At 41.7% G+C, this 13,838-nt stretch overlaps 1 protein-coding gene across 9 annotated transcripts in view; it reads left to right on the top strand.

Annotated features, from left to right (window-relative positions):
* The window catches only part of BICRAL (BICRA like chromatin remodeling complex associated protein), a 122,218-nt gene that overhangs the window by 44,999 nt on the left and 63,381 nt on the right, over nucleotides 1-13,838 (top strand). Inside the window, exon 2 of one of the 9 annotated variants that reach the window (XM_024446390.2) lies at nucleotides 364-365. The exons of the other annotated variants lie outside the window; for them this stretch is intronic. The gene's annotated coding sequence lies outside the window, so the exon portion shown is untranslated. The remainder of the gene's footprint in view (nucleotides 1-363; nucleotides 366-13,838) is intronic. 9 annotated transcript variants of the gene reach the window in all.

Consider the following 13,838-nt stretch of genomic DNA (forward strand, 5'->3'; position numbering starts at 1 on the left):
GGGTTATTTGGCTCTCTTATCTTGCAAACACATTAAACACTTAACATTACTTAAAATTAAAGCCCTGAGTCTGAGAATGTGAGAGAATAAGATATGAAAGATATTGCCTTTCTAGAAATGGTTTATTTCAGTTGAACCCAAATCCAGGACACTTTTTTTCATTAGGAGTTGAACTTTGTGTCCTGGCCTGAAATGGAAACATTTTCACAGGGAAGAAAATGAGGGGGAAAAGAAATAATATTTGTTAAACCTTCACCTTGTTTGAGACCCTGATGGGTTCTAATGGGTTTGGTTTTTGTTTTTGTTTTTTGAGATGAGAACTCACTATGTTGCACAGGCGTGTCTCAAACTCCTGGGCTCAAGCGGTCTTCTCACCTCGGCCTCCCAAAGTGCTAGGACTATAGGTGTGAACCACTGCACCTGGCCTCTGATGGGTTTTTAGTAAATACAGTCATGTGTCATTTAATCACAGGGATAGGTTCTGATGAATGCATCGTTAGGTGATTTCATTGTGTACAAACACCATAGAGTGCTCTTACGCAAACCAATATGGTATAACCTACCACACACCTAGGCTATATGATATAGCCTATTCCTCCTGTATTGTAAACCTGTACAGCATGTGACTGTACCTGGATACTGTAGGTAACTGTAACTGTATTTGTGTATCAACATATCTAAACATGGTACAGTAAAAATATGATACAAAAGAAAAAAATGGTGCACCTGTATAGGGCAGTTACCATGAATGAAGCTTGGAGGACTGGAAGTTGGTCTGGGTGAGTCAGTGAGTGGTGAAAGAATGTGAAGGCCTAGGACACTGTGCACTACTGTGAACTTAATAAACACCATACACTTAGGCTACATTAAGCTTATAAAATATTTTTCCTTCCTCAATAATAAGCTTAGCTTACTGTAACTTTTTTTCTTATGAACATTTTTGGTTTTTTTCTGAGACAGTATCTTGGTCACCCAGGGTTGAAGTCCAGTGGCGTGATCATAGCTGCAGCCTCCATCTCGTGGGTTCAAGCAGCCCTCTCACCTCAGCCTCTACTGAGTAGCTGGGATTACATGCATGTACCACCATGCCCAGCTAATTTTTTTTTTTTTTTAAATGTAGAGATGAGTTCTTGCTATGTTGCCCAAGCTGGTCTCAAACTCCTGGCCTCAAGCAGTCCTCCTGCCTCAGCCTCCCACAGTGTTGGGATTACAGGTGTAAGCCACTCCGCTTGGCCTAGATTTCATTTAACCCTGAGACTTTTTAGAAGTGCAAATAAGTATATTTAGAAATTGATGCTGAGTGTGGTGGCTTATGCTTGTAATCCCGCACTTTGGGAGGCCGAAGTAGGTGAATCACTTGAGGTCAGGAATTTGAGACCAGCCTGGCCAACATGAAGAAACCCCATCTCTACTAAAAATACAAAAATTAGCCAGGTGTGGTGGCAGGTACCTGTAATCCCAGCTATTCTGGAGGCTGAGGCACAAGAATTGTTTGAATCTGGGAGGCGGAGGTTGCAGTGAGCCAAAATCGTGCCACTGCACTCCAGACTGGGCGACGAGAGTGAAACTCTGTCACAAAGAAAAAGAAAAAAAGGAGAAAGAAATTGGCTGGCTGGTTTATTTTATTTATTTTTTGAGATGGAATCTCACTCTGTTGCCCAGGCTGGAGTGCAGTGGCACAATCTCAGCTCACTGCAAACTCCACCTCCCGGGTTTAAGTGATTCTTGTGCCTCAGCCTCCCCAGTAGCTAGGATTTACAAGCGCATGCCACCATGCCCAGCTAATTTTTTTTTTTTTTTTTTTTTTTTTTTTTTTTTTTTTTTGAGACAGAGTCTCGCTCTGTTACCCAGACTGGAGTGCATTGGCGTGATCTCAGCTCACTGCAAGCTCTGCCTCCCAGGTCCATGCCATTCTCCTGCCTCAGCCTCCCGAGTAGCTGGGATTACAGACCCAGCTAATTTTTTTTTTTTTTTTTTTTTTTTTTTTTGTATTTTTAGTAGAGACGGGGTTTCACTGTGTTAGCCAGGATGGTCTCAATCTCCTGACCTCATGATCCACCCGCCTCGGCCTCCCAAAGTGCTGGGATTACAGGTGTGAGCCACCATGCCTGGCTGCTAATTTTTGTATTTTTAGTAGAGATGGGGTTTCACCAGTTGGCTAGTCTGGTCTCCAACTCCTAACTTCAAGTGATCCACCAGCCTTGGCCTCCCAAAGTGCTGGGATTACAGGCGTGAGCCACCGCGCCTGACCAGGTTGGTTTATTCTTATTTTCCATTTGTATTGTGATTCTCCAAATCTGTGAGAGTTTTAGGATGGAGAAATCTGTGAAAGTCAACCCCTTTTCTCTAGGTGTAATCACACAACATGAAGGTTTACAACTGGGATGTTTTTGGCGCTACTTCTATGCGTAGGCCTCAAGATGACTTTTTTTTTTTTTTTTTTTTTTTTGAGACAGGGTCTTGCTCTGTTGCCCGGGCTGGAGTACAGTGGCCCCATCTCAGCTCACTGAAGCTTCACTAGTAGCTGGGACTACAGGTGCACACCATCATGCCTGGATAATTTTTGTATTTTTGTAGAGACAGGGTTTCCCCATGTTGTCCAGGCTTGTCTCGAACTCCTGGACAAGATGACATTTTTATTTTTATTTTTATTTTTATTTTTATTTTTATTTTTAAAATGTAAAACTATGTTACTTGTTTATAAATCAGATTAAAAGAAAAAATTTGAGACAGGGGCTCGCTGTGTTGCCCAAGCTGGTCTTGAACTCCTGAGCTACAGTCATCTTCCTGCCTCAGCCTCCCAGATAGCACGGATTACAGGCATGAGCCACCGCTCCTAGCTACTATAAATCTGACTTTATATGTCACATGATGTACCTAGAATTTATTTTTTTACAGCATGTGTGATAGAGATAAAGCAATCTGACAGTTAATTTCAAAAGAGAATAATACAAAGAAAAATGACATTTGGGTAACCATGTTGTTTAAAAAAAAGGCTCAAGTGCTTTAACTTAGAAATGCAGAACATATTCTGTTACATAAAATACTTAATGCCGGACAAAATTCACTTACTCTGTGTGTGTGTGTGTGTGTGTGTGTGTGTGTGTGTGTGTGTGTTTGGCTATGTACCCATGACCTTGAACTCCTGGAGTCAAGTAATCCTCCTGCTTCCCCTGCCAAGTAGTTGAGACTACAGGTGTACTCCACCATGCCTGGCTCTATTTTATATATTTTATAAGTACTAATATATTATTCTCTGTTCTTTTTTCATTTGAATTGTCAAGTTTTAAGGCTAAGCTAGACATATCAATTAAGAACTTACTGTAAGTGGCTGGGCACAGTGGCTCACGCCTGTACTCCTAGCAGTTTGCGAGGCTGAGGCGGGCGGATCACTTGAGGCCAGGAGTTCGAGACCAGCCTGGCCAACATGGTGAAACCCCCTCTCTACTAAAAATACAAAAAAAAAAAAAAAAAATAGCCGGGCGTGGTGGCGGGCACCTGTAATCGCAGCTATTCGGGAGGCTGAGACAGGAGGATTGCTTGAACCCGGGAGGCGGAGGTTACAGTGAGCCAAGATCACGCCATTGCAATCCAGCCTGGGCAACAAGAGCAAAACGCCATCTCAAAAAAAAAAAAGAAACTTACCATAAGTCATGCAAGAGTCTATTTACTGATCTCTCCACCAATACTCACAAAGAGAATTACGCATGAACGACAGTCAAGGTAACTGAAAAGATCTACATCTATTGTTAGAAAGTTGTCTAACTTGTTTTCCAAAACTTTCTGCTATTAGATTTAAAAACGTGACAAAAAGTCGGGTGCGGTGGCTCACACCTGTAATCCCAGCACTTTGGGAGGCCAAGACTGGTGGATCACCTGGGTTAGGAGTTCAAGACCAGCCTGGCCAACATGGCGAGACCCCGTCTCTACTAAAAATATAAAAATTAGCTGGGCATAATGGTGCACGCCTGCAATCCCAGCTACTCAGGAGGCTGAGGCACAAGAATTGCTTGAACCTGGGAGGTGGAGGTTGCAGTGTGCCGAGATCGTGCCACTGCACTCCAGCCTGGGCAACAGAGAGCAAGACTCTGTCTCAAATAAATAAATAAATATCTATAAATAAAATGTGACATAAAACCTATTTCACATTGTTTTATTTCTGTCATATATTACCTAAATTCCCAAGATATAATTATTATTTAATAGATGTTCTATGTTTCAAATTACCTTACTATCAAAAATTACCTTGAGCTTGACTCTCAAGCATATCTTTAGGACATAAGAGGCTGTGAAAGTCACAGAATAAATATTTTCAGAGCATGATGTGGATTTTGTATAATGTATATGCACCTTTAAAATATGTTCCATTCTTTTAAGATTAACTTTTAAAATTAAATGTTCTAATATTTTTCTTACATCATATTGCTTTCTAGAATGTTTCTTTTCTAAGCGGAATGTCTTGTTTTGAAAATTATTACCATAACTATCTACTCTGAAATAAAAAGGCACTGCAGTGATATTTCATCATCAAATATTTATTAAATGCTAAATTGGTGTAAAGCATTTGGAGGGCACAGGAACACATAATCTAGGCAGTTGGATCATATGTACACACATAAAACTACACAACAGTGTATGGTAAGTGCCAAATGATTAGTACAAGCAAGAGCAAAGGAGAGAGAACCTTTGACTGAGGTGGTGTGAGAGCATCTATTCATTTATCCATTCAGCAAATATTATTGAGCACATAATGTGTGCCAGGTGCCATTCTAGGCTCCCAGGATGCTGCAGTGAGCAAAAGACCAAAGCCCTGTTCTCTTGGGAAAGACAGACAATAAACCTAAGTAGACTTTGTAGTATGTTATGGGGTAAACATATAGAAAGATAGGAAGACGGGGAGTGCTGGGGTGTGGGAAGATTGTCTGGTAGGTCATGATTGTCTTTGAGCAGAGTCTTGAATAAGCCTTAAGCCTGAGGATATCTGGAGGAAGGGCATTCCAGGCAGACAGCAGCCAGTGCAAAGGGCCTAAGATATGAGCATGCATTTTGAGTTCTGGGCGTGGCAAGGTAGCAAGGGCTAGAATCAAAAGGGATCAGAGAGGCTGGGGAGCAGAGCAGTTGTGTAGAACATTACGGGTGTTCACAGTCGAGCACATAAAAGAATTTTGGTTTTTACATGGGAGGAAATGAAGGTTCATTGGAGAGTTTTGATTTCTGTTTTAAAAGGGTCACTTCTGGAATTTGGGTTGAGAATAGATTCTAGACTATAAAAGAGCAAAAGCAGAGACAGCCAGTGGGAGATGATGATGGCTTGGACCAGAGAGATGGTAGTGGAGGTGGTACATGTTGGATTCTGGATGTTTTTTTGAAGGTATAGCCAGTGGGATTTCCTGACATATGCGATGTGGGTATAGGATAATGAGCTGTCGGCCGGGTGCAGTGCTCACACCTGTAATCCCAGCACTTTGGGAGGCCAAGGCGGGTGGATCACCTGAGGTCAGGAGTTCGAGACCAGCCTGACCAACATGGAGAACCCCATCCCTACTAAAAGCACAAAATTAGCCAGGTATGGTGGCGCATGCCTGTAATCCCAGCTACTTGGAAGACTGAGGCAGGAGAATCACTTGAACCCGGGAGGCAGAGGTTGCGTGAGCTGAAATCGTGCCATTGCACTCCAGCCTGGGCAACAAGAGCGAAACTCTGTCTCAAAAAAAAAAAAAAAAAAAAAGCTGTTAAGGGTTACATGTAGGAAATGGAATTTGAACTGGAGCCTAAAGGAAAAGGAAGATTTTGTTGACCAGGAAAAGATACATAAGCAGAACTTATGTATAAGATACATAAGGAAAAGATACATAAGCAGAACTTATGTATAACTTATAAGAGGAACTTAGGTGGAAAAGAACCAATTTAGGTTGGGATTTTATAAGAGAGGCGGACAGTAAGGAGACTTCTTTGGATGAAGTGAGAAGTGGAAGGCTGGGAAGGGACCTTGCGATCAGTTTGTGAAATGCAGTAAATGTAAGGCCAAAGTATTTGAATTTTCTTTTATACGTTAAAATCCTAAAGGTTTTCAAGCAAGGAGTGATTTGACTTAAAAAGGAAAAAAAAAAGTTATAGTCAATAACAGCTTTGGAATCAGACCGATCTGAGTTCTAGCATCTTGCTGTAGGTAATGCCTTGAGTGAGTAACTTCCCTGAGGGAGTGTGCCTCAGTTTCTTCCTCTGGATAGAGGACTTACGTTTCAGAGGGAGTTTGAAAGGATTAAGTGAGATCATGCATATAAAGCATTAACATAATGCCAACCCATTTGGGTCTCAGCTATCACTGTTTTTTTAAATTATTAAATTGTTATAGGCCTGGTGCAGTGACTCATACCTGTAATCCCAGTACTTTGGGACGCCAAAGCAGGTGGATCACCTGAGGTCAGGAGTTTGAGAGACCAGCCTGGCCAACATGGTGAAACCCCATCTCTACAAAAATTGCAAAAATTAGCCGGGCATGGTGGCACATGCCTGTAATCCCAGCTGCTCCAGAGGCTGAGGCAGGAGAATCACTTGAGCCTGGGAGGCAGAGGTTTCAGTGAGCCACTATTGCATCACTGCACTCCAGCCTTGGTGACAAAGTGAGACAATGTCTCAAAAATAAATAAATAAAATGGTGGACCCAGATATGGAAAAGAATGATATCATGCCCTTCGCAGAAACATGGATGGAGGCAGAGGTCATTATCCTAAGTGAACTAACTCAGAAACAGAAAATCAAATACCACATGTTCTCACTAATAAGTAGGAGCTAAACAATGGTACGCATGGACATAAAGATGGAAATAATAGACACTAGAGACTTTAAAAGGGGGTAGGGAGGGAGGGAAGTGAGGGTTGAAAATTACCTATTGGGTACAGTGTTCACTATTTGGGTAATGGGTACACTGAAAGCCCAATCCCCACCAGTATGCAATATACCCATGTAACAAATATGCACATGTACTCTCTGAATCTAAAATTAAAATAAATCTAAAAAAGAGTCACATAAACTAGAAAAAGAAAAAAAATTTTTTTAATTAGAAAAAAAAAGGTGGGCCGGGCATGGTGGCTCATACCTGTAATCCCAGTACTTTGGTAGCCCAAGGCAGGCAGATCACTTGAGGCAAGGAGTTTGAGACCAGCCTGGCCAACGTGGTGAAACCCCGTCTCTACTAAAAGTACAAAATTAGCCAGGCGTGGTGGCAGGCACCAGTAGTCCCAGCTACTCGGGAGGCTGAGATAGGAGAATTGCTTAAACCCAGGAGGGGGAGGTTGTAGTGAGTTGAGATCAAGTCACTACATTCCAGCCTGGGTACTGTCTCTAAATAAATACATAAAATCAGAAAAAAAATTGTGTAGTGTTTGCATATAACCTACACAGATCCTCCCATATACTTTAAATCATCTCTAGATTTGTTTTAATTTTTATTTTTTATTACTGCTCCTTGCGGAGCGTGGCTACCCCATAGGCAGCATGCCCAGAGTAGCCAGTCATTTCTAGAATATTTACAATATCTAATACAATGTAAATGCTATGTAATAGTTGTTAGACTATATTGTTTTAAAATTTGTATTATTTTTTATTGTTATATTGTCATTTTTTGTTTTACTTTTCCTAAATATTTTCAATCTGTGGTCATTTAAATCTGGGGGTGCAGAACCCATGAATATGGAGGGCTGACTATATTAACAGTGCCTGGAAATTTTTTACCCAGTAGAAATATGTATTAGACACAAGGTCTCACTATATTGCCCAGGCTGGACTTGAACTCCTGAGCTCAAATGAACCTCCTGCCTTGGCCTCTCAAAGTGCTGGGATTACAGGCAGGAGCCACCATACCTGGCTGAAATATTTTTATATCACATTATACTAGCAGATATCTTGAAATATTACTGTCTTCCAAATGAGGGTAGTTATTAGATTCACCACTAAATCTTTTTTTTTTTTTTTTTTCTGAGATGGAGTCTTGCTCTGTCACCCAGGTTGGAGTGCAGTGGCGCGATCTCAGCTCACTGTAGCCTCAGCCTCCTGGGTTCAAGGGAGTCTCCTGCCTCAGTCTCCTGGCTGGGACTACAGGCACGTGCCACCACGCCCGGCTAGTTTTTTGTATTTTTAGTAGAGATGGGGTTTCACCGTGTTAGCCAGGATGGTCTTGATCTCTTGACCTTGTGATCCATGAGCCTCAGCCTCCCAAAGTGCTGGGATTACAGGCGTGAGCCACTGCACCCAGCCCATCACCACCATTCTTTTCCAGAAGTGTTCATCTTCTCCAACTGAAACTATGTATCTCATGATCTCTTGATACAAATAATTACAATACAAATTCCAGTTCACATGGCATTTCTTAGGATTTATTAAAGATTTCAGTAGATAGAAGTTTATGTCTCTTAAAGAGAGTTTAGAAAGATGACATTAAATCAATATCTTTAAACTCTTTGTAGAAACTCATTGTGAAACCTTGCTTGGAGTAATATGCTACAAATATATTTGTCCATATTCTTTCTTAAATATTTATTTATTTATTTATTTATTTATTTGAGACAGAATCTTGCTCTGTCTCCCAAGCTGGAGTGCAGTGGCCCAATCTTGGCCGACTGCAACCTCCGCCCCCAGGTTCGAGCAATTCTCCTGCCTCAGCTTCCCGAGTAGCTGGAATTACAGGCATGCACTACCACATTCGGGTAATTTTTGGGTTTTTGTTTTGTTTTGTTTTGTTTTTTTAAAATGCAGTCTCACTCTGTCACCCAGGCTGGAATGCAATGGCACAATCTCAGCTGACTGCAACCTCTGTCTTCCAGCTTCAAGTGATTCTCCTGCCTCATCCTTCCGAGTAGCTGGGATTACCGGTGCCTGCCACCATGCCCAGCTAATTTTTGTATTTTTAGTAGAGATAGGGTTTCACTATGTTGGCCAGGCTGGTCTCCAACTCCTTACCTTGTGATCCATCTGCCTCGGCCTCCCAAAGTGATTTTTTTAATTTTTAGTAGAGATGGGGTTTTGCCATGTTGGCCAGGCTGGTCTCCAACTCCTGACCTCAAGTGATCCGTCCACTTCGGCCCCCCAAAGTGCTGGGATTACAGGGCTCAGCCACCACGCCCGGCCTTAAATCATTTTTAAGCTTAAACAAAAGCACTCTTGTTTTCTCCTTGCTAAGAAACTGATTTTGTCCACACATTTTTTTTTCTTTTTTCTTTTCTTTTTTTTTTGAGACAGGGTCCCGCTTCATCGCCCAGGCTAGAGTGCAGTGCTGTGATCTCAGCTCACTGCAACCTCCGCCTCCTGGGTTCAAGAGATTCTTGTGCCTCAGCCTCCTGAGTAGCTGGGACTACAGGCACCCACCAGCACATCCGGCTATGTCCACACATTTTCTATTTGAGTCTGTCTTTATAAAAGGGAATCCTCAGTGTATCTTCCTTGGTAACATTGACTTTGTAAAATGGAATTTTGTTTGTTAACATTGTTATTTTCATAGGGTTTATTTTTCTTGGAACATGCTATAAAACCAAAATATTTTGAATGTTACTCATTGACAGAGAGCAAAGAGTCAAGAGTTTTCATAATAACTTTTAATCAGATTGCTAATACTGATGCTTAATAAAAGAAATATACGGCCAGGCACAGTGACTCATGCCTGTAATCCCAGCACTTTGGGAGGCCCAGGTGGGCAGATCACCTGAGGTCAGGAGTTTGAGACCAGCCTGGCCAACATGGTGAAACCCTGTCTCTACTAAAAATACAAAATTAGCCAGGCGTTGTGGCAGGTGCCTGTAATCCCAGCTACTCAGGAGGCTAAAACAGGGGAATTGCTAGAACCTGGAGGCAGAGTCTGTGGTGAGCCGAGATCAAGCCACTGCACTCCAGCCTGGCTGGCAGAGCGAGACTCTGTTTAAAAAAAAAAAAAAAAAAGAGAGCGAGAGAGAGAAATCTACATTTTGTTTATAATTACTGACATTTTGAATTTTTTAAAGCAGTTACATACATAGGGACCAGAATATATTTAAACGACACTAAGAAATGGTGTCCTACTATTAAGCAGTTTTGACTTTAATAGCTCAATTTTTACCATACTGTATTTTAGTGAATGTTTTGACTGTGGGCTAGGAATGCAAACGGCAGTGTCCCATCTTTTTTACTATTTATGACTGGCATTGTACAAAAATGTCCATAGTCTGTAAAAGTGGAAAAAATCATATTGGTAGTAGTATTGCTTTTATTTCATTTAAAATGTTCTCTAAAATAGGTCAGATGTGGTGGCTCATACCTTAATCCCAGCACTTTGGGAAGCAGAGGCAGGCGGATTACTTGAGGTCAGGAGTTCGATACCAGCCTGGCCAACATGGTAAAACCCTGTCTCTACTAAACATACAAAAATTATCCAGCTGTGGTGGCGCACACCTATAATCCCAGCTACTCAGGAGGCTGAGGCAGGAGAATCTGCTTGAACCCAGGAGGCCAAGATTGCAGTGAGCCGAGATCACGCCACTGTACTCCAGCCTGGGTGACAGAGTGAGACTCCATCTCAAAAAAAATAAATAAAAATAAAATGTTCCCTAAAATAAATTCCCTTTGCATTAGGAAAAACATAAATGACTTAGATAAATCTCCATTTTGTTTAATAAAATATATCATAATGCTGGGCATGGTGACTCATACCTATAATCTCAGCACTTTGGGAGGCCAAGGCAGGAGGATTCCTTGAGGCCAGGAGTTTGAGACCAGCCTGGGCAACATGGTGAGCAATCCCTTCTGTATGAATTTTTTAAAAATTAGTACAGTGGCATGCACCTTTGTTTTCAGCTACTTGGGAGGCTGAGGTAGGAGAATCACTTTGAGCCATGTTCATGCCATCGTACTCCAGCCTGGGCAACAGAGCAAGACCTTATCTCAGGAAAAAAAGAAAAAGAAAAAGAAAAAAAATACATGCATATGCATAAATATTTTCCTGAATAAAACTAGAAATCAGATAAGTATCAGAGCAGTTTCTATTTAATATTCAGATAGTTTGTCTTTATTGAGAATATATAAGTAAGACTTACTTTTGGCTCTTTCAGCTTTTCGTGTTTTTTTTTGTTGTTGTTGTTGTTGTTGTTGTTGTTGTTGTTTTGAGATGGAGTTTCGCCCTTGTTGCCCAGGCTGGAGTGCAGTGGCACGATCTCGGCTCACTGCAACCTCCGCCTCCTGGGTTCAAGCGATTCTCCTGCCTCAGCCTCCTGAGTAGCTGGGATTACAGGCACACACCAGCATGCCCAGCTAATTTTTTGTATTTTTAGTAGAGACAGGGTTTCACCATGGCCAGGCTGGTCTTGAACTTCTGACCTCAGGTGATCTGCCCACCTCAGCCTTCCAGAGTGCTGGGATTACAGGCAGGAGCCACCGTGCCTGGCCTTTTTTTTGTTTTTAATAGAGATGAGGTCTCACTATGTTGCCCAGACTGGTCTTGAACTCATGCACATAAACAGTCCTCCGTCCTCAGCCTCCCAAAGTGCTGAGATTACAGGTGTGAGCCACCACACCCGGCTCCTCATTTCTCAATCATTTCCTGTGTATGGTTTTCCATAGTTATCAAAATGCCCTCACACTCTCTTAGAAAACACAGTAAAGAAGTATAAAAACATTTTTGTCAGGGCATCTGGTTTTTAATATATTGTAGAGTTGTCTTTTCTTTAAGGTCTAGTGTTGGTATACTCACTAGACCTTAAACCCATACCTGGCTGTGCCAGAAATTCTTCAACTTAGACATTTACTTCCGAGTCTTTTAATGAACCACAACTATTATTAATATAATAAATTACTGTGCTAAATGTTTGGAGACTTCAACTAATTATTTTATATTTATGTTCAGCACATAAATCCCTTTATAAGGAGGTTTGTTAAATATTAAGTGGATTATCTTGGAAGGACACACAATCTTTTATTCTGTGGATCTTTAAAACTTGTATTTCCTTACGCCTGAGAGAAGTGAATTGTCTGATTTGGAGCAGATGTGGGGAATCAGTTGATTCCTCACTTTTTTTACACTGGCTTGATAGATGCCTGGCTGGATAATAAGGGTCCAGCATTAGTCAGTGGATCCTGGACCATGGAGGACCAGGCCTGCATCCCAAATCCTGTGCTGTACCATCGTCAAAAAGTGCTCACATGTAGCCTTGGTGCATATTCTTGGAAAGTAAATTAGTAACTGACATTAACCCTAAAAATGTCCTTTGGAAACCAGAATCTTAGGAAAGTAATTGCATTGGGTAAACAGTTATTAGGCATGTATGTATCAGGCATTGCACTAAACTCTGCTAACACAGAAATGAAAGGAAACTCATCCAGTTTTCATGGAACTTGTAAGCCAGTGGGGAAGTCAGAAAAACCAAGTATACTCATATGTTGCTTAAGAAGGAGGATACGTTCTGAGAAATGCGTCGCTAGACAATTTCATTATCTTGTGAATATCAGAGTACACTTACACAAACCTAGATGATCTAGCCTACTGCAGACCCAAGCTATATGGTATAGCCTATTGTTCCCAGGCACAAGGCTGTGCAGCATGTTACTATACTGAATACTGTAGGCAACCATAACACAATGGTAAGCATTTGTGTGTCTAAACCTATTCACACACAGAAAAGAAACACTAACAATATAGTTTTTTGTTATTGTTGTTGTGTTTGTTTGTTTGTTTGTTTTTTTGAGACGGAGTTTCGCTCTTGTTGCCCAGGCTGGAGTGCAATGGCATGATCTCTGCTCACTGCAAACTCTGCCTCCCGGGTTCAAGCGATTCTCCTGCCTCAGCCTCCTGAGTAGCTGGGATTACAGGCATGTGCCGCCATGCCCAGCTAATTTTGTATTTTTAGTAGAGACAAGGTTTCTCCATGTTGGTCAGGCTGGTCTCAAACTCCTGACCTCAGGTGAACCGCCCACCTCAGCCTCCCAAAAGTTCTGGGATTACAGGCGTGAGCCACTGTGCCCGGCCAGTATTATACTCTTAAGGGACCATAATCATATATGTGGTCCACTGTGTATGAAAGGTTGTTATGGGGATGCATGGCTGTATTGTCATACATGGTGCTGGTAAGATGTCAGATGTCCTCTAGGGATATGAATAAGTGAATAATGAATTTTGCTTCGGGATTTAAATAAAACTAAAGAAAGGCAGTGTCATTTTACTCAAGACCTTTAGGATAAGTAGGCATTGTCAGTTGACCGCTTGGAGGTGGGTGGGAATGTCTTCTAAGTAAAAGGAACATGCAAAGTCAAATAATTGAAAAACTGATAAGTTTTGGGGACATCAAGTGGTCAAGGTGGCAAAGAACTAAGGGCTTCTTACAGGGACAAGTGGGGTGGGTAGAGACACAAATGAGGCTAGCTAGTGCCTATTGTAATGAGCCAGTATATTCAGTTCTCTGATGCCAAAAAACCATACAATCTAAAAGTTGCCTGCCTTCGGGATGGCAGAATTAAGTGCTGTCTCATCAGCACTCTCATAGCACTTTATGGTGTGTGTATTCATTTATATTTGGGCTCTGCTTTTTTAAAAAAATTGGGCCTCGCTATGTAGCCTAGTCTGGTCTTGAACTCCTGTCTTCAAGCGATCCTCCTGCCTTGGCCTCCCAGAGTGCTGGGATTACAGGCGGGAGCCACTATGTCCAGCCTGCACCCTGCTTTAATTGGGAACATAAGATAAGCATAATGAAGATAATCGCACAGAGCAGTGTCTGATCAGTGTCCAAAGATGTAGTTGCTGCTTTCAGAATTCTGGGCAGAGAATTCTGAAGACAGGCTGAGGTTGTCAGAGAAGGATTCACAGAGATCAGATCCAAATTAAT

This window comes from Homo sapiens, chromosome 6, assembly GCF_000001405.40.
Source record: "Homo sapiens chromosome 6, GRCh38.p14 Primary Assembly".
Lineage (NCBI taxonomy): Eukaryota > Metazoa > Chordata > Mammalia > Primates > Hominidae > Homo > Homo sapiens.